We start from the raw sequence: 20,918 nt of genomic DNA on the forward strand, positions 1-20,918 counted from the left end.
GGGAAAACACACATGTCTACACGCACACAAATATACACACACATACATCTGTGTATAAATGCATAGAAAAAAGTCCGGAAGGACACAGAGTGGTTACATTTTGTGTGACAGAGGAATGTCAGGAGTTGAATTGTGTCCCCCTCTCTACTCCCCAATAAAATTCAAATGTTGGAATTCTAACCTCCAAAACCTCATAATGTGACTATTTGGAGATAACATATCTATTTGGAGATAATCAAGTTAAAATCAGGTCATCAGAGTGGGCCCTAATCCAGTATGACTGCTATCCTTCTAAGAAGGGGACATTTGGACACAGAGACATGCACAGAGGGAAGACTATGAGAACAGGCCTGGAAAAGATGGAGAAGATGTGCAACCCAAGGAGAGAGGCCTGGAGCACATCCTGCCCTGGTAGCCCTGCAACACCCTACTTTGGACTTCCAGCCTCCAGACTGCGGGACCACAAATTTCTATTGTTTAAGCCACCCAGTTTGTGGTATTTTGTTATGGCAGCCCCGGCAAAACAACAAGGAGACTCTTATTTTTATATTATATGACATTTTATTTATTTATTTATTTAGAGACAGAGTCTTGCGCTGTTGCCCAGGCTGGAGTGCAGTGGCTTGATCTCAGCTCACTGCAGCCTTTGCCTCCCAAGTTCAAGCATTTCTTGTGCCTCAGCTTCCTGAGTAGTTGCGATTACAGGCATGCGCCACCACGCCTGGCTAATTTTTGTATTTTTAGTAGAGATGGGGTTTCACCATGTTGGCCAGGCTGGTCTTGAACTCCTGACCTCAAGTGATCCACCCTCTTCGGCCTCCCAAAGTGTTGGGATTACAGGTGTGAGCCACTCCACCTGGCCTGTATGACATTTTAATAACTACATATGTTACTTCTATAATCACAACCCCTTCTCAAAAAAAAAAAAAAAAAAGACATAATGAGGGGGAAAGGGTACCAGGTATGATTATCACATAATAACTGTCTTTTTCCTCCTTTATAAATATATATGCTTTCCCTGACCCCAACAGTGCCCTTTAGGAGCTCAGCTTGCCACCACGGCACCAATAGCACCAGTGGCTGCTCCAGCTGAGGAGATGGGGCAGGCCCTGATTTGCACAGTTACAACTGGTATCTGGTTCTACAAGATGTTAACAGGGTCATTGCCCTTCATTCCATGCACCTAGTTCAGTTCTAAACAAAGGAAGAGCGGTTTTTCTAACCATCTCACCCCACGAATCGGAAAGACCAACGGGCTTCCAGTGAGGACGCCCGCATTGGCGGGCACTTTCACAAGCCTCCTCCCCACACCCCCCGCCCCCCCCATTCACACAGATGGCCCTGTGATTGCCTGCTCCAATGCCACAATACATAACCAACAAAACCCAGCCTGTGAGTCCTGTAAAATAGAGCTCCTCTAACAATACTTTTTCCCCTGGGAAGTGTCCTGATTTTCTGGGGGGTGTCCACCATTCAGGGAAGTGGGTAGTGGACCAGCATCAGGGCAGCAGCAGGGAGGAAGGGCAGAGGCGTGACTTGCAGGAGGCGACCCCAAAGGCCAGAGAAGCGGGGTGGGAGGTTCAGGCAGGCAGTACTCTGGAGACAGTGCTCTGACCCAGGGCAAGTGCCACTGAGCAGGACCCTGCCCTCTCGGCAAAACCGCTCCCACAGAGGCCACCGACTTTTTACCAGTTGGATGCATTGGCTCCCAGAAACCCAGCCAGCTTAGTGCACTTCTGCAGCCGTCCTTGGAGCTGTGAACATACCTGGAGGGGTCAGCAAGAAACTGAAATCAAATTCAGATCAAATAGAAGTTAAGAAATAGAAATCTCAACACACAGGATGTAGATCTAAATACTCACAAAATATTGATAATGCGCTTCAGCCTTCTGTGCCTTGAAAGAGGTTGTTCTCTCGAGTTCCTGATGTTTCCTCAGGGCCTCAGAATAAAAAAGGGACTGAGAAAGGAACTAGCATTTTTGGGGCACCTGCTGCGTATCCCACTGTAACTAAAGCATATCATTTAACCTTCACGCCAGCTGAGGGTAGGTATTATCCCACTTGTTAAATCTGAGAAAACTCAGAAAGGTGAAGTCACTTGCCCAAGAACTAATGGCTAGTAATGGCAGAAAGGCTGTCCAGTGACCTTTATGGAGTTAGGTGTAGTCGGTCCTCTGTATCCATGTTTTCTGCATCTGTGGATTCAACCAACCTCACATCGAAAATATATTCATTTAGGCTGGGCATGGTGGTTCACACCTGTAATCCCAACACTTTGGGAGGCCAAGGTGGGTGGATCAGCTGAGGTCAGGAGTTTGAGACCAGCCTGACTGACCAACATGGTGAAACCCTGTCTCTACTAAAAATACAAAATTAGCCGGGTGTGGTGGCGGGTGCCTGTAATTACAGCTACTCAGGAGGCTGGGGCAGGAGAATCACTAGAACCCGGGAGGCGAAGGGTGCAGTAAGCCAAGATCATAACACTGCACTCCAGCCTGGGCAACAAGAGCGAAACTCAGTCTCAAAAAAAAAAAAAAATCATTAAAGTGTTTTAATAGAGGTTAAGAAAAAACAAAACAAAGAAAGGGCCAGGCATGGTGGTTCATGACTGTAATCCTAGCACTTTGGGAGGCTGAGGTGGGAGGATCTCTTGAGCCCAGGAGGTCAGGACCAGCCTGGGCAACAGTGAGACCTCCATCTCTATGAAAAAAATTTAAAAACAGTTAGCTGGGCATGGTGATGTGCACCTGTAGTCCTAGCTACTCGAGGGGATAAGGTGGGAGAATCACTTGAGTCCAGGAGGTCAAGGCTACGGTGAGCCATGACTGTGCCACTGCATTCTAGCAAGGGTGACAGAGTGAGACCCTGTCTCAAAAAAAAAAAAAAAAAAAAAAGGATATAAGAGGGAGGATGTGGGATGTGTATAGGTTATATGCAAATATATCAGGGACTTGAGCATCTGTGGATTTTCTATCTGCAGGGGGTCCTGGAACCAATCCCCCATGGATACTGAGGGTTACTGTTGTTTCTTTACATGTGTGCTTCCTCACTTGTAAGGTGGAAAAGAATCCTGCATTCCGCAGAAAGTTAAACATGACGTTGGTGGTATGCCCAGTTCCGGCCTAGCACATAGGACACCAAAGACAAACTATACCTGAGGCAGCCTGAGGGCGCCCCAGAGAACCAGACGGACAGGATAAGGCTCTTGACTGTCGCCCACTTGTCAAGGCCACCAGCAGGGAAGGAAGGAACAGAGGCATCAGAGTGAGGCCTGGTAAGGACCTGGGCTCTGCAGTTGGCTAGCCCAGCTCAGCCTGGTTCAGTCCTTGCCTCCTGGGACCGCAGTTTACCTGTTACTCACCCTTTCTAAGCTTCAGTTGCTCAACTGTGACACAGGGATGACAGGAGGGCCCTGTCTTGCAGGGAGCATGAGGGCAAGTGAGCTCGTAGGACTCTTTCCCCACTCCTCCAAGTCCTCCTCTCCCTTCCTAACTTCCAACATCTCTCCATGCTTCTCACCTTTGCCAGTGGCTTGCGAAAATCACCCCCTTTAGGAAGAGTTAAAACTGAAACGTTAACACTAAGACGCAAGGCCCCTCCTATATATCTCCTTTTAAGGGCCCTACTCCTTTCTCTAGAGAAATTTTTCTCTGTGACCCTCAGAAGACCTCATACTTTATTTCCTCCTGGGGATTGTCACTGTAGCTCTGGAGCATCCAAAGTGTCAATTTGGAAAGGAAAGTGGGCCAAAGAGAGCTGCTCGGAGGAGACCAAGCATCTTGCAGTGTTAACAATTGTTTTCTGCGAGAAATTGTCCTCCAAACTACACACACACACACACACACACACACACACACACACACACACACACATATCCCTGAGGTTCAGCAGGGATCAGTGGAAAACAACTTAGAGGAAGTACAGCTGTTCCCTCTGAGGAGCGCTCGTTGGGGAAGCCAGGCCTAGGAAGAGGGGGTGTTCCTGGGCGGTGGCCTGCAGCCTTCCTTTCACTGAGGCATCCGAGCCCAAGGAGCTGCAGTCTCCCCTTGGGAATATGACATAACCATAGGAGGAAAGGGCCTTGAAAAAACAGACCGGTGTCCACATGTCCTTCGGCACAGGAAGCCCTGTCCCATCCTGTATGCGGGAACTCCAAGATCTGCCAACGCTCTAGCATCACCTCGTCTCCTGCCAGACAAATACCCCAAAGCCAGCGATCTGATAGGATGTGTTTATATTTACACGGTACATTTTAAAGCAATGGCTACATTGGTCATACATATTAGAAACCATAAAAAAAAGTTAAGAACTAAAATGTACATCATACACTTGTATATATATTTTTTACACAGAGGTAAAAAGGCTTATTATAAAAAAATCAATACAACAGGGTTTTTAGTATACAGGTAAAGAATGAATTATGCTTCAGGCACTTTAATTTGTTAATGTGAGCAAATAGCTTGGGGGGTCGGGGAGGCTTCTGGACAGAAAATCTTTTGGTTAATGTTTTGTTACCACAGATACAAAAATAAAATCTGAATAATTTCTCTCAAATGATTGACGTCAGTATGGCAAAGCTGACTGGGAAAATACTACACACTGTTCAGCTGCAGTGTGGCAATTAGAGACGTATTTACATAAATGTCCCCATGGCTGTCTTTGTGCCCTTAACCGATGCCTTCACAAACCAAAAAGTATACGTGGAGTAAGATCTGCTAGCGTAACTCTTAAAAGGGTGGAAAAGGACAAGGGGTGAAAGAAGAGAGAAACAGGTAACAACTAAATAGAGGTGACAAACAAAAAACAGCTGGGATATGTGCGTTCTTATTGAAATAAATAGGGGCACTTGAACTGAGGTCTAAGGAAACGAACATTAGTGTTGTGCTTTGTAGAGAAGAGACCCTAGAGAAAGACCCCAAGGAAGTGCCTCCGGGTCGGGGGAAGGTGGTCTCTCGACAGCACTGGAGGCTGGCTGAAGGTTTTCTAGATGTTCTCCAGGCATGGATGAGGTTCTCTTTTCTTCCATCAATCCAGATGGACAGCTCTCTGCTCCTTTTCCAAACTGGAAAGCCTAAACCAGTTACTCCAATGAATGAAGACGTCTACTAACTGACTCATAAGCACACTGGGTATTTACACCGGTAATCTACTAAAGAAAATCGATGAGCTTGTGGACGAGCTGGAAACAGCCCCATGAAGGTGAGCACAGCTAGCACTTTCCCAATATGATTGGCAGACTGGAAAAAAGTCCCTTTCCTTGAAGACTGGTGTCCTGTGTGCAATAAAGAAGGAGTGGGGAAAGGGAGTGGGGAGCAGGCCATGTCTTCTGCTGGCCGCTACCACAGAAAGATCGTGGCGGGAAGAACAGCCGGCGTCCGCAAGCCTGTCCCCGGTGGTCTCCACGAGGTTCTGATTGTACTATGCTAGGTATAGGTAACCACTCTTCACTTTTCTTCTTTCTTCAATAAGAAGATTTGGCTAATCCTTGCAACGTATTAGAAAAATACTCTTTTCCAGCTAATTAGAAGCCTCCTCCGTGGCAAGGCGACAGGCAGAACCAGTTGGCTGACCTAACCACCTGTGCACCCAAAGTGGCGAGTCTGGGTTTGGAGTTGCAGGAGAAAGACACTTAGGCATTGGAAGGGTTTTTACATATGGCCTTGTTTTTTCCCCAAGTATAAATGAGGAATTTGGTGATGTGAAATTGAGTCCAAAATGAAACGAAAACATAAACCCATGAAGAAAATGCAACCCACCACTCTTCAAATTTATGACATTTAAAAATCCCCTCTCCCCATTAATATAAAATAGCCAGGGGTTGGGGGGAAGAAGCTCCCTATGGTTTTATTCACCATAACCTTAGTGTTTCTCAACTGGAACTTGTTCGTGGGAACACTGATTTGTGTTTGAGGAAACTATTTGGTTTGCAAAACAACAAGCAAAATTTCTTACTTCACTAGTATCCTATTCTAATATTGCTAAATTTTTAGAAGTGGTGGCAACACAATTTAAAAAATGTTCTACTTTAGGGGTAATGGGGAGGCTCATAGAAACCTGAAATCCCCATTCTAGCCCTGGTCCAAGAGGATGCAATGCAGTTGAAGGAATTTTCCTGATTCTCACAAGTTAATCTGAAGTTAAGGCTCAATTCTCAGTCTATTACGGGTGAATGTTTTGCATCAGTGAATCATTTCAACAGATTTTGGGGGGGCAGAAAATGATGATGGGCTAAAGATAGAAACTGCAGCTTACATGGGAAATTTGGCTTTAGAAAAGTTAAAGCGATATTGTTTTGTGGTACAAGTTTGTTAACTAGCTCACCTCCTATACATAATAACTGACTGCAGGCTGAGATACTTCTGTCGGGTTTCATCATTCTCACATCCCATTTCCGCTGAACCAGATGCTTGCTAGCGACAGGCAAGGTGAACCAAGAGAAAGAGAGTCTTCGACGCTCTTGGAAAAATCAACTACAAAACCCACCGAAAATCAGCAGTTCCAATTGCAGACTCCTTTGAACTGGAAGAGGCGGGGGAGGAGGAAACAGGAAATCAACACATGGATGAGACAGTTAGCTTGGTTACAGATTGTTAATAGTACAGGAGTCTGTGGCGAAGGTTCCTTCCTCAGAACACTGTGCGAGCGTGTGTGTATGGATGTGGCTGCTGCAGTGTGGGCGGCAGGGGGAGTGGAGAGTCTACCCGGCAGCGTCCCTGGCTGGAATGGTGCCTCGAGGTACCAGGGAGCTGGGAGGCCGCTTGCCCTCCTCGCTCCTTGGAGTGGAAGGGAGCGGGGGAGAAGATGAGAGTATGTAAGAGACGAGTTCCCCTGTGGCTGCGGATGGAGGGAGAAGGGAGGGAAACTGAGTCACGCGGCCGCTTTGTGCTTCCCGCCACAGCACCTGCACATCACTCCGCAGTGGTAGCAGGCCCGAAGGGGCAGGTAACAGCACATACAGGGGGCCAGGAAAGACAAGGCAATAAGAGCCATCCACCGGAGGCAAAACTTCTCGTCGCTAGTATCGCACGAGCAAGGGTCTGTATAGTCTCCCTCGGGGTCCGACATACAGTGATAGAGCATGCTGTCCGCGCACCACATGCAGCTCACCCGGCGGATGCAAGTTCTCACGGAGTCGGGCGCGTCCTGGCAGTGGCCCCGGCGGTTCTCCTCGTGGTTGAACATGTCCCTGCAGTACACGCACCGCGAGCGCTCTCCGTCCTCCTTCCGCCGCCGCGACTTGCCCCGGGAGGGCTGCGTCTTGATCACGCTGCCCCCGCGGCCTTTGGGGTCCTCGCCTAGGCCAAAGTCTGAGGAGTCCACGTAGGGGTAGTTGTAGTCATGCTTGGGGACCTCGCCCTTGGCGAAGCGCACGTAGGAGGAGTCCGCGTCCTCCGAGGGGTCCGGGTACTTGCCCCTGACGGGTGCGTGCCGGTAATCCTCGTACCCCGTCATCCAGATCTTCTCCCGGGGGTTGATGCGCACGATCTCCTCGTCGTCGTCCGGGAAGCTCACCTGGCGGTAGGGCCTTGGCATCGGCTGTCCCGTAGGAGAGGAGACATTATTTTACAGCAGCGGCCAAAAAACAAACAAACAAAAAAACACCCCACCTTCTCCCTCCCTAGCCGTCCAAAATGCACCTTTCTCGATAACTCCATCACGATGCTCCGTGAAGAAACAGACCCTTCCTGAAATTACTGAATATCCTGTCGCCCAGTCAGAGATGTATTTCAAATAGAGTCTCAATCCATTAATGGGCCAGGAAATCAATTTCGTGGGTTGAGACCGGCAGTATTTTCCCTTTCTGGTGACGCACTGCCATACAGGCAGGGGAGTGTGCACATGGCAAGGGCACAGTGTGATGCGTTCTCAGGAGCATGGCACACTCAGATCAAGAGGCAGAACAGGACCTGTGCCCCAGAGTATCTTCCGCCTCCCTCAGGGATCTCCTAGCCCCAGTGTGAGGGCTACACTCACTTCTAAAGGCCTGCATTAGTTTTGCCTATTTTTGTATGGTATGTTCTCTTTTGTAAGGCTGGCTTTTTAAAAATTGAAATAGAATAAGGACACTGGAGTGCAATACATGTGAGAAGGTAAGTCCTGTTTTACGAAACTTCATTATCCATATGTGCACAATATGTCCACAAAGGATCACAATAGGAGATGCATTTCTCCCTGTGGGTGTCTCCTTCAAGAGACAGGGGACACTAGGAAACAGTAGCTCACCATGTCATCTGGTGAGATGCGGACAGGAGAAGGATAGAGTGAAGGCTCCGGAAACTGAAGTTTCACTCCTGCCAGGATCTCACAAATAGTGAGTGGCCAGACCAAGAGCCACACCCTCTAGAAACCTGCAAATCTAAGCTGCATTCTCCCTCAGGGTGGAAGAGGCTTTTCTCTGCAGTTAGTCCTGCTACAGGCTGCAACCCTGCCTTGTCCAGAGCAGCAGACACTGAATAAATATTTATTAATTACATGCATATAACCCTGGCTCACCCAGGGCCTCTCAGTGGAGGCAGAGAACTGAGACTTCTTGCTTTCGAAGTCCTTTGGGCATGAAGGTTTTTCAGGGGTTGAGGAACGTGGCTCTGGAGTGACTCACTGCAGTCAAATGCTGACATTTTCTAGCTAGTACCTAAGACTCAGGTTCCATTTCTGTCGAACTGCATAGGACTGTTTTGAGAATGAAGAGAAACAATCTACAGAGGGTGTCAGCTCACAGCCTTGCTCACAGGATGCACTTGATAACTCTCGCCATCACAGTCATTATCATATTGTTACGGACTTGATCATGCGCTTATTAGATTTACCCATCACTTCCTACCAGAGGGCAGGGCCATGTCCCACACATTTTACCTTAATTCCTGTCAAATTCTTGGTATCAGAGTTGCCTAGATTTTTGAAAATCATGATTTCAGAAGGATTTCAAAACAAATCTCGGAAACTGACACGGGCTTTACTAATTCTTTATTTTGGACAGTAAGGAAAGTAAAAAAGTTAATTTCCATCTACTGCTAGCATAATGTGATATTTATTTATTTATTTATTTTTTGAGATGGAGTCTTGCTCTGTTGCGATGACGCAATGGCGCAATCTTGGCTCACTGCAAGCTCCACCTCCTGGGTTCACGCCATTGTCCTGCTTCAGCCTCCCGAGTAGCTGGGACTACAGGCGCCCGCCACCACACCCAGCTAATTTTTTGTATTTTTAGTAGACACGGGGTTTCACCGTGTTAACCAGGATGGTCTCAATCTCCTGACCTTGTGATCCACCTGCCTCGGCCTCCCAAAGGGCTGGGATTACAGGCATGAGCCACTGCACCTGGCCAATAATGTGATTTTTAAATAGGACATTTTAATCCCAAAATATTAGGAAGCACAATCTAAAATAATTTTTTTAAAAAGAGTCAAATAAATCTAGTTTTATGTTTAAAAACAAAACAAAACAACTCACTGCCCTTTTTTCTCATTTCAAAGCAGCCTAGTGGCCACAGCACCCCACACAGGCACCAGTCCATGCCCCATGATTTGGGAACTTGCTCTGCAAAGCAGCCACTTGGTAAATATTTGTTGAACTACCGAATTCTGAGCTCCAGCTACATCCGCCTGAGCAAGACTGGGCCTGTAGCCTGTAAGGCTGGGGGCTCGAGCCAAGTGTGCAGCATTCCTTAGTCCTGATTGTGGCTCTGGGCTTCCACACAAAGCTGGGAGGCCCTTTGGACAGAGGAATGCAGGACGCAGTGTAGCCCCCTGGGTGAGAACAGGCTTGGATTTGAATCTCGTTCCATCAGATACTCCACCTCTCTAAGCCTCAGCTTCCTCATCGATAACCTGGGGAGGCTGAAGACTTGCCTTGTGGGGCAGTTTCTGAGGATTAAACCACATAAAGCATATAAAGGGTCTGGCAAGGTGTCTGGCACACAGAAAACACTGGATGAGGCTGAGGTGCCACCACCAATGCCACTTTCAATATGAAGTGGGGGTAAAGGCAGGAGCAGGAGAGGCCTGTGGTCATGGAATTTGGCTGAATAGGAGGGGAAAGAGGCCATTCCAGAATCAGAGGCACCACCCTGATGCCCTCAGAGGAACAGGGCTGCTGCTCACCTGATCGAGGTGATAGTGGTCTGTGGGGTATGAGTCGTGGAGGTGGCCCAGGGTATAAATCCTCCGGTGCTCACAGGATGTGGGAGAGGAGATTGTCCGAGTAGGTTGCTCTCTCTTCTGAGAGGAATTAGAAGAACTGTCTGTAGCTGTCTGTGTAGAGGGAGGTAACCAAGAGTCAATTTAAAAACAACAACAAAAACCCCACGCAGCAAACCCTGACATGCACTATTCAAATACTAGCTATTCCCTGGTTGTGGCAATTTGCTGCTCTTCCCAAAATCTTGAGTTTGTCTTGGCTACAACAGGAGGACCCCTGAATGGCCAGATTGTCTAAACACAATGTGGCTGGTTCAACAGGCAGAGAAGCCCAGCCACCAGACCCTGGAAAGGTAGGTTTTTCTTAAATGCGGGAATAGTGACTGGGTGCGGGGGGAAAGGCTGGATATACCAGGCTCCCCAAAGGTTTGTGTTCTAGTTTGATCAAGAATGGTTACCCTGGCCAGGCGCGGGGGCTCATGCCTGTAATCCCAGCACTTTGGGAGGCCAAGGCGGGCGGATCACCTGAGGTAAGGAGTTCAAGAGCAGCCTGGCCAATATGGCAAAACCCTGTCTCTACTAAAAATACAAAAATTAGGCAGGCATGGTGGCAGGTGCCTATAATCCCAGCTACTCGGGAGGCTGAAGCAGGAGAATTGTTTGAACCCGGGAAGCGGAGGCTGCAGTGAGCCAAGACTGAGCCACTGTACTCCAGCCTGGGTGACAGAGCAAGACTCCATCTCAAACAACAACAACAACAACAACAACAACAACAACAACAACAACAACAAAAACAAAACATAAATAAAAGAATGGTTATCCCATCTGTGGCCCTGGTTGTGAGGTGTTATGGCAAGCAGGGAAGACGCACACAGGCAAAAATGAAACCCACGTGTTTATATGGAGGGGGGAAATCTCCACCTGGGAGAGTCTCAGAGGTAAGGATACCGCTGGCTGGCGTATCTTGAGTACTGGATTTCCAAGAATAAATTTTGTATCTTTGGGGTTGGGAGCAAGACTTGGAGGTCACTTTAAACTGGAAGTGAGATGGATGACTGCATAGAAAAACAGAGGCCACCTCTGTGAAGGGGGAGTACAGAGCTGTTTTGCCCAGTAGAGATGTCAAGTTAAGACTGGAGTCTCCGTAACCATGTCTTTGGAAGGTGATTAGCTATCAGTGCGCACTGTACAAGCAGATCCCACAGGCACCCAGTATGCCACCTGATATGGTTTGGCTGTGTCCCCAACCAAAACTCATCATGAATTTGTGGGAGGGACCTGCTGGGAGGTAAGTGAATCATTGGGGCAAGTCTTTCCCGTGCTGTCCTCGGGATAGTGAATAAGTCTCAGATCTGATGGTTTTAAAAAGAGGTGTTCCCCTGCACAAGCTCTTTTTTTGCCTGCCACCATCCGCGTAAGATGTGACTTGCTCCTTCTTGCCTTCCGCCATGATTGTGAGGCCTCCCCAGCCATGCGGAACTGTAAGTCCAATTAAATCTCTTTCTTTTGAAAATTGCCCGGTCTCCGGTATGTCTTTATCAGCAGCGAGAAAATAGACTAATACTCCCACCTGAGACACAACGGAGCAGGCCAGGCGACCCCAGGTGGTGGTCATACTCCACAACCCTCTGGGCCCAGGGGCTATCCAGGGGCCTTGTTAGATGCAGCTGGCAACCATCTTTAAAACCAGGACCCCCAGAATCCCTACCCTTCCTTCTGCTTGCTTAGAGTGACATATCTCTCCACCCTCTACCATTCCCCAACTAAACAGATGAAAAGAAAAGGCTTTTTCTGATCTCTAGATGCTCTCTTTCTTGCAAATCTACAGGAACTTTCCTTTGGCTACTGTTTCTTACTTGTATATTCCCCTCATCTCATTTGCTTATATATATATTTTTAAATGTATTTATTTATGTATTTGGGACAGGATTTTGCTTTGTCACCCAAGCTGGAGTGCCGTGGCATGAACACAGCTCAAGTGATCCCCCTGCTTCAGCCTCCTGAGTAGCCGGGACAATAGGTGTGCACCACCACCCCTGGCTAATTTTTGTATTTTTTGTAGAGACGGGGGTCTTGCCAAGTTGCCCAGGCTGGTCTTGAACTCCTGGGCTCAAGTGATCCTCCTGCTTTGGCCTCCCAATATGCTGGGATTACTGCCATGAGCCACCATACCCTGACTTATCTATCACTTTACATGTTTTTGTTAGCTATCATAAATCATTTTAGGGACAAGGGCAAAACAAATAGACTTACAAAAGTTCTTTTTATCCTCCTCTCATTTATAAAGTAGTACATACTTAGAAAAAAAGCACTACAAGAATTTAGGAAAAACACACCCATATTTCCATTATGCAACATAAGCATTGTTAGTTTTTACACCTTGGTCCACATGTGCAGCATCCCTCTGGAGACCCAACCCTCCTGGATGTTTCTCTACTTGGGTTTGGTCTATGCCATGCATGGCTGATGCCTGCTTCTGATCCCCCAAGCCATGGTGACTAATTTCAATATGAACACACGGTGCTCTCCGAAGCAATATAGAGAGACTTTTGACAGAGCGGTCAGAAAAGCAGCTGTCTCCATTTCTGTAATCAAGATCTAAGGGTCCTATAAGCCTTGAATCCTGGCACGGGTGTGGGGAAAGGACTTGTCTGAGGATGGGAGCAAGAGAAGCCACCCTTAGTCCCTTTGAGCTGCTGGATCCAGCCAAGCCTGAATCCTGACCACTCGAGGATGTCCCAATGATGACACCAATTCTCTTTTGTGACTTAAGCCAGAATACACTGGGTTTGTCACTTGGGTGCACTTTCCCTTCACTATGGATTCCTTCCAAAGCAGTCCCACAGGCACCACACTCCTGGCTTCTCTCTACCCCTTACTCCTCCCCAGGTTCCCTCCTCTTCCTCACAAACAACTCTTCTTGGTGTCATATGTGTGAGTGCTTATGGTGTGCCAGGCCCTGAGCTACTTGTGGACACGGTTCCTCAGCATGGCCAGCAGGTCACAGGTAAAACACTATCTCCATGTCACACACTGGCACTAAGGGACTCTGAGAGATGGTGAATCCAGGCCATGGCAGCACAGTCACTGGCAGAGCTGGGACTGAAATGCAGCCTCCCTGACCACAAAGCCCAGGGAGATTTCTAATAGGCCCCACACACTGCTGCCTCTCACAGCCAGGTAAGTCCACTTCCAGCTCCTATGCTAAGAGGTATTTTGTTGAGATTAACACAAAACACAACTTCTCCAAGTCACAAGGTACACCCTGCTGTATACAAACCCAGGAGATGAGGAGATGATGTCTCACAGTACAAAGGTTACTACAGATCTCAATAAATACCTCTCAAATGAGTAATCAGGGCCTTTCAGTGTGATTCAAATCTCAAGAGTTAAATTCTTATCCAACAGCCACGTTACAGTCATCTATTAGGTTAGAAGTTAGCCTTGTGTTGAACATTGTAATAAGCTCTCAGTACTTAGTTCTCAGAAGCCCATTTAACACACCACGGTCACCACTGTGTTAGTCATCTGTTCACCCTAACTCAGCCTATTTTCTGTGACCCACTTTTGGGTTAACAATGTGTAGAAAGTCCTTCTGAGAAATGAGGCACATCCGGCTTTTCCTAGGACTCATTAGTCGATCAGAAATGCTACCTTCCGATATTCCCATCCCACCTCCCCAGCCCTCTCTCCCTGCACAGTCCAGTGCAAAGCTCCCCAGACATTTGTCAGAGGATGTGAGACTGAGAAAGGCCTTATCTGATGACGAATTTCTACAGTGAAGCAAGAAGGCCAGAAGACCTCGAGAGGCATGTCCACAGTCTACTGCCTCCTGAGGGCAGAGCTGAGGTTGCGTCCTAGCCGAGCCTGCAGTCTTCCAGGCCCAGCTGTTCAGGGTTGTCTGAACTCCCAGAAGATTCCATTGGAAGCCAAGGCTATTTCAGATGGATACTAACAGATGATTCTTACAAAGCAGCTAGTGTGACCTACAAACAAAAGGAATGTACTACCAGGGCATCTCCAAGAAAGGCAAAGGGGAAAAAAAATCTCCTTTTACCCTCATGCACCTCTGAACTGGCTCTCCTATAACTCTGCCCTGGTTTCCGTGGGCTGCAGAAAAGCAGCCCACCTGAGGTATGCACATACCTAATACACAAGCAAGATTCTTAAACATCTCTCTGTTATTTCTGTGCACAAGCTACTGACACCTACCAACCTACCAATCTGAAAGCTGTCACCTTCAATGAAAAAGTTGGCAATCACATGCTCCCAACTGTATCTACACTCCCCTTGCTCTCCAGTGGGGGTCTAAGAACTGTTAGGGCTTTGAAGAACAAAAGCAGAGGTCCCCTGTGACTACTCTGTGCTCGGGGACTTCAGGCTCCTAGAAGGCATGACTGCAGCATCCTGAGAGAGCAGGTCAGAGTGGGCGTTTAATGTCTCCTGCTGTGGACACTGAGGCTGGCATTGCCATCTGGCCCCAGCTGACACTGGGAGGTCTTGTGCACTATGATGCAGGGAGCACAGCCCTTGCCACCTGCAAATGTACCCTCTAAAAACACTCTTGCCTTTGGGTTTGACTCTGACTCAATGTCAATGCCTGTTGCTAAAAAGATGTCCAGCTGGGTGCAGCTGCTCATGCCTGTAATCCCAGCGCTTTGGGAGGCTGAGGTAGGAGGATCGCTTGAAGTCAAGAGTTCGAGACCAGCCTGGGCAACAAATCAAGACCCTGTCTAAAAAAAAAAAAAAAAAAAAAAAAAAGATGTCCAATTAAGAAGTGTGCAACCTAATATGAGGCACTGAACAACAGAAACGAGGGGAGTATTACAATGCTAAAAACAACAGGGTCTCAGCTCAGGCAGATTAGATTTGAATCATTCTCTGCTAATTATAAGATGATTTTGGTCAAGTTAATCTCTAACTCCAGTGTTTACATCTGTAAAATTGGGCCAAAATCTTCCTTGGGGTTATGGCAAAAATAAAATGGGATTTAAAATTTCTATTTTGCTATACATTTTTTTGAGACAGAGCCTTGATCTGTCACCCAGGCTGGAGTGCAGCGGCGGAATCTCAGCTCACTGCAACCTCCGCCTCCTGGGTTCAAGCGATTCTCATGCCTCAGCCTCCCGAGTGGCTGGGATTACAAGCACGTGCCAACACGTTTGGCTAATTTTTTGATTTTTTTAGTAGAGATGGGGTTTCACCAGGTTGCCCAGGCTGGTCTCCAACTCCTGAGCTCAGGCAATCTGCCCACCTTGTCCTCCTAAAGTGCCAGGATTACAGGGATGAGCTACCACGCCTGGCCTAAAAATTTCTATTTTAAACTGTGACTGCTGGTATATGAAAGTTACTGATTCTGTATGTTGATCCTGTATCTGGTTGTTTTGCTTAGCTCCCTTATGAAACTAGATTTTTCTAAGTAAATCATTTTGCTCACAAAAGATAGTTTGGTCTCCTTTCCTCTCTCTCTCTCTCTCTCTCTCTCTCTCTCTCTCTCTCTCTATATATATATATATATATATATATTTTTTTTTTTTTTTTTGAGACGGAGTCTTGCTCCGTTGCCCAGGCTGGAGTGCAGTGGCACGATCTCGGCTCACTGTAAGCTCTGCCTCCTAGGTTCACGCCGTTCTCCTGCCTCAGCCTCCCAAGTAGCTGGGACTATAGGCACTTGCCACCACACCCGGCTAATACTTCGTATTTTTAGTAGAGATGGGGTTTCACCTTGTTAGCCAGGATGGTCTCAATCTCCTGACCTCGTTATCCACCTGCCTTGGCCTCCCAAAGTGCTGGGATTACAGGCGTGAGCCACCGTGCCCGGCCTCCTTTCCAATATTTATACCATCTTCTTCTTACCTCATTGCATCTTTTGCCAGGGCTTCCAACATGACATGGAAAAACAGAGGGGACAGTGTCCTGCTTGTCTTGAACCTGACTTTGATAGAATTACTTCTAATGAATTTCTATTAGATATAATATTTCTAGGTAATTGGAGTGATTATAAAGTTCCAAAAGTTTCCTTCTATTCTAGATTGCTAAGGATTTTCACCAGATATTAGATGTTATTAGATGATTTTTCTGTCTACTGAGATGATTACAAAATCTTTCACCTTTATTTTATTAATATGTGAATTAAACAGCTTTTCCAACATAAACCTTCTTTGCATTCCTCAGATACATTCTACCGGTCTTTCACTAAATATGCCTTACTAATATGTGATGTGATTTATTTATTTATTTTTTGAGACAGAGTCTCGCTCTGTCGCCCAGGCTGGAGTGCAGTGGCACAATTTTGGCTCACCGCAACCTCCGCCTCCTGGGTTCAAGCGATTCTTATGCCTCAGCCTCCTGAGTAGCTGGACCACAGGCACGTGCCACCACACCTGGCTAATTTTTTATATTTTTAGTAGAGACAGGGTTTCGCCATGTTGGCCAGGCTGGTCTCCAACTCCTGACCTCAGGTGATCCGCCCACCTCAGCCTCCCAAAGTGCTGGGATTACAGGCATGAGCCACTGCACCTGGCCCACTGTCAAATTTTTCTATGGTAACTATAAAAAAACCACATACTTTGAGTAGCAAATAACAAGCTCTGTGTGACCTGGTTTCTAAAGCCCTCTAACAGGGCAGTGAGCTGAGACAAGCCTTTGATGAGGAAGAACCCAGAAAGGAGAGAGTAAGAAAAGAGAAGGGAAGGGGGTGAAAGCAGGTGTCAGAGGGTACAGAAATGAAAGTGGGCACTGCCAACATTTAAAAAAACAAGAAACAGGGACAGGGCTGGCCTGTCCAAATCCTCTATGGTAGTAAAAAAAAAAAAATCCATCCCTGGCCAGGCGCGGTGACTCACGCCTGTAATCTCAGCACTTTGGGAGGCTGAGGCGGGCAGATCACGAGGTCAGGAGATCGAGACCATTCTGGCTAACACGGTGAGACCCCGTCTCTACTAAAAATACAAAAAATTAGCTGGGCGTGGTGGCAGGAACCTGTAGTCCCAGCTACTCGGGAGGCTGAGGCAGGAGAATGGCGTGAACGTGGGAGGAAGAGGTTGCAGTGAGCCGAGATCGCGCCACTGCACTCCAGCCTGGGCGACAGAGCAAGACTCCGTCTCAAAAAAATCCATCCCTTCCCAGAAGGGTTTCTGGGTTTGGGTTGGGTGCTTTGCGGGATGTGGGCTCAGACACAGAAAGTGACCATGTTGTTGGGGGAGATGCCACGTGGCACGGGAAGAGGCAAGGCCAGGTGAGCAGTCCTCAAGCACCAGGCCTCAGAGCACTGGTCAGAGTCAGGCAGCTTCCCAGAGGGGTGTGTCTGAGATGGGTCATAGCATTCTAGATGGGTAGACCAGAGGAAGAAAAGGGGGCTCAAGTTTATCAGTGAACATCTGATCAACATCTCCAAAAAAAGAGCAGGCTTCCAGTTGCCAGATTCTATAGACACAGGCTGTACTTATTTTGAGAATTCAGATATTTCCCATAACTCTAGAGTTTGATGACAAATGAGAGCAACTCCATGGAGCTTCAAAACTTGAGACAGAATTTTAAAAAATAATAATGGACCTTAATGTTATGATGGCTTGACAATCAATCAAAATCTGAGTGCAAAAGACACTGGGCTGAAACTGCCTGGGCTAATGGACTGGCAGTTTCCCCAAGGTCAATGCTGTCTGGTTTGGGTGGGAATCAGCCTGAATGGAGAAACGAGACTAACAGGGCAACACCTCAGGTTAAACCTGAGCCAGCTCCCTCCTGCTGTATGAGCCTTTTTTGTACAATATGATCTCTTGTTCTTGGAAGCTTGGCTACTCTTCCCTCTCTTATGGAGGGACCTTGAGTTTACTGGGAAATTCATAAAGAAGCAAGTGCAGCAGCTCACACGCCCTGGGTCCAAGAATGAACCTTCTTCATGTAGAAGGCCACCTCTCTGACCAAGGGAAGCTCAAGGAGGGAGGGAAGGAACCACCAGGCCAGACGAGCTGAGGAGACAGGTTGCTTAAATTGTCCATTCTGGGATGGAATCCTGGCTGCTGACCCAGGACTTTTTGGGGGCACTTTCTGTGTCTTCAGGACGAGCCGGACAGATTTCAACGTTCACATTTCGCAGGTCTTTTCAGTACTATGCGCATCCCTTCAAGTCCTCTAGGTTTTCCTGCTAAACCTTTGCTTTCTAAAAGAGGGTAGGGGCAGAGGACAAGGAGGCAACAGTTGGCAAAAAGTGCTATGGGAAAGAAAAGGTGTGCCTGGGCTGTTTTCTCAAGGACACTTGGAATTATTATCAAGGGGCACCTGGTTCACAGCCTTCTCAAGTAGGATGCTCCCATCCAGTACATGGGTGAGACTATTAGAGGGCTGGCAATGTGTAATTTCTTCCTTCTTCTTAGGGAGGGAGATAAAAGGGACAAACCCCTCCTCTCAAGAGGCAAGGAAACAAGTACAGCCACTTCATCATCCTCATGTTCCCAGGAACACAAGGGCTGACTGCAGAAATCACAATGTGCAAAGAGCCAAGCCCTCTCTGACCAGCCCATTTGGGAGATCAGTGGGCCTACGTGTTTTGAATAGGGCCATAGAAAACAATGTTAAAGAAACTGCTTAAGGAGCTAGACCACATCATTCAGGAATCATGTAGCACTGCTAAGCAAAAATAGCACTATACAGGGAGATTCGAAAACCTCAATTTCAGGCCAGGCCAGATATCTTGGACAAGTTGTTTAACTTTTGGGGGCCTCAGTTTTCTCATGTGTAAAATGAGGGAGTTGAACTAGATGATTTCCAAGGTCTGTTTGAGCCCTAACAATTTCATGTGCAATGCCTCTCACCTGCTCCTAAGAACATTACAGGTTAGAGGAGTTGGACTAAGCCCGTTGCTTAGTTGATTCAAGAACCACAGGATTAGGACAGGTGCAGTGGCTCATGCCTGTAATCCCAGCACTTTGGGAGGCCAAGGGGTATGGATCACCTGAGGTCAGGAGTTGGAGACCAGCCTGGTCAACATGGTGAAACCCCATCTTTGTAAAATACAAAGTATTTTGTATACAAAATAGAAAATATCTTTGTAAAAATACAAAAATTATCTGGGTGTGGTGGCAGGTGCCTGTAATCCCAGCTACTCAGGAGGCTGAGGCAGGAGAATCACTTGAACCCGGGAGGCGGAGGTTACATTGAGCTGATATTGTGCCACTGCACTCCAGCCTAGGTGACAGAGCAAGACTGTCTCAAAAAAAAAAAAAAGTTACAGGATTAATTTTGATTGATTAAGTAGAATTTCTGCCTTGTCTGCAGATGCTGCTGCTATTTTGAATTTTTAAAGGTAGCTAACTAGTAGTTATGGACTACATTTGCATTATTTTTGCTGCAATCTACCACCAAAATATATCTCAATAGCTGATGTAACTAAGGCAATATTCTTCCTTTTGCAAGGGATTCTCATTTTATATATAAGTATTTACAACTCCCCCCACCCCGTATATAATATTCGTTCCTTTCTTAACCTCAGCCTGAGAGTGTCTCAGAAGGCTACTGGCTCAGACTGGATGAGTTGCAAGATTTTCCCCGCAATGTCTACTAAGGCTGAGAAACCTATGATCAGTCCTTTCTCCTTTGGCAAACAGGAAGTCGTCTGCCATTTTGTCAACAGGTCTTTGGGAACAGGTAGCTCCGGCTCATCTGTCCTGAGGGCCTACGTTGGTTCCAGGTGTCCTCTTTCAAAGAGACAGCAGATCAGGAAGTAGGCCAGACCTGTATTCTTTCACAATCCCAGCTAGCAGGCAGTTTGAGGCAGCTGCTGGTGGGGCTTTGGGGGAGAGATGACTCTGACTCTGTCCTAGACTCTAGGACATTATCCTCTCTCTAGGACCTAGAGGATTCTTTCATTGTGAAATTAACAACAACAAAAACCAACCAACCAACCAACCAACCAAGAAAAAGAAATAGGGTCTCACTATAGCTCTGGCTGGTCTCAAACTCCTGGGCTCAAGTGATCTTCCCGCCTCGGCCTCCCAAAGTGTTGGGATTAAAGGCGTGAGCCACCAGTCCAGGTCAACAAAAACAATTTTGTGAAAAATTTTTGTTTCTTAAAAAAACAATTTTTTTTTTGAGTTAGGGTCTTGCTCTATTGCCCAGGCTGGAGTACAGTGGTACAATCACAGCTCACTGCAGCCTTGACCTCTCAGGCTCAAGAGATCCTCCCACCTCAGCCTCCCAAGTAGCTGGGACCACAGGAGCACATCACCATGCCTGGCTAATTTTTTTGAAAAAATTTTATGTAGAGACAGGACAGGGTCTCTGTATGTTGCCCAGGCTGGTCTCAAACTCCTGGCCTCAAGCAATCCTCCTGCCTCACTTGGCCTCCCGAAGTGCTGGGATTACAGTTGTGAGCCACCATGCACGGCCTCTAAATTTTAAAGTTAGATGATATGTTGATATGAAAGAAAAGGACTCTGATAAACCCACAGTTTAGCTTCACTGGAGGGACTGAGGGGATGGGAGCAGGAAGGCTGGGTTTCAAGTAACCTTGAATAAATACTCTGTATGAATTAATAAAATGGAAATAAAAGTTTCTCACTGTCCACAGCTTAAAAAGATGAGATGATATATATGTAAATAAAGCAAGACACAAGTGGCAGGGGTTGCAAAATGCCTTGGGGCTTCCTGAAACTGAGAGCATTCCAAAGCTTTTATTTAGATCCTTAGACATTTAATTAATTTAGCCACTATAGGTATTACATGTCGATAAAAAGATCCTCCTCTTACAGCGTAATGTGAGCTTGAGAGTTATTGTCATTTAGA

The 20,918-nt window shown here is 47.0% G+C and overlaps 1 protein-coding gene across 9 annotated transcripts in view, besides 1 other annotated feature; it reads right to left on the reverse strand.

The window, feature by feature from the left end:
* Window positions 1–541: 541 nt before the first annotated feature.
* SPRED2 (sprouty related EVH1 domain containing 2) overlaps window positions 542–20,918 on the reverse strand; it is a 125,425-nt gene continuing 105,048 nt past the window's right edge. For 5 of the 9 annotated variants that reach the window (NM_181784.3, XM_047443709.1, NM_001128210.2 and 2 more), the window contains 2 exons: window positions 10,101–10,250; window positions 4,218–7,536 (listed from right to left, as the gene is read on the reverse strand). In NM_181784.3, the coding sequence (NP_861449.2) occupies window positions 6,868–7,536; window positions 10,101–10,250 (819 nt within the window). In that variant the 3' untranslated portion in view covers window positions 4,218–6,867. Of the gene's footprint in view, window positions 1,767–1,862; window positions 1,941–4,217; window positions 7,537–10,100; window positions 10,251–20,918 lie in introns of those variants that run through there. The other 4 variants (XM_005264200.6, XM_047443710.1, XM_005264202.6 and 1 more) reach the window with 2 other exon arrangements.
* Window positions 16,856–16,945: an enhancer, noted in NCBI's record as "active region_15929". NCBI's record gives its function as "activates an Ori minimal core promoter by ATAC-STARR-seq in GM12878 lymphoblastoid cells {active_cell/tissue: GM12878}" and the evidence as "EXISTENCE:reporter gene assay evidence [ECO:0000049][PMID:35858748]".

The sequence above is a fragment of the Homo sapiens genome, chromosome 2, assembly GCF_000001405.40.
Source record: "Homo sapiens chromosome 2, GRCh38.p14 Primary Assembly".
Taxonomy (NCBI): domain Eukaryota; kingdom Metazoa; phylum Chordata; class Mammalia; order Primates; family Hominidae; genus Homo; species Homo sapiens.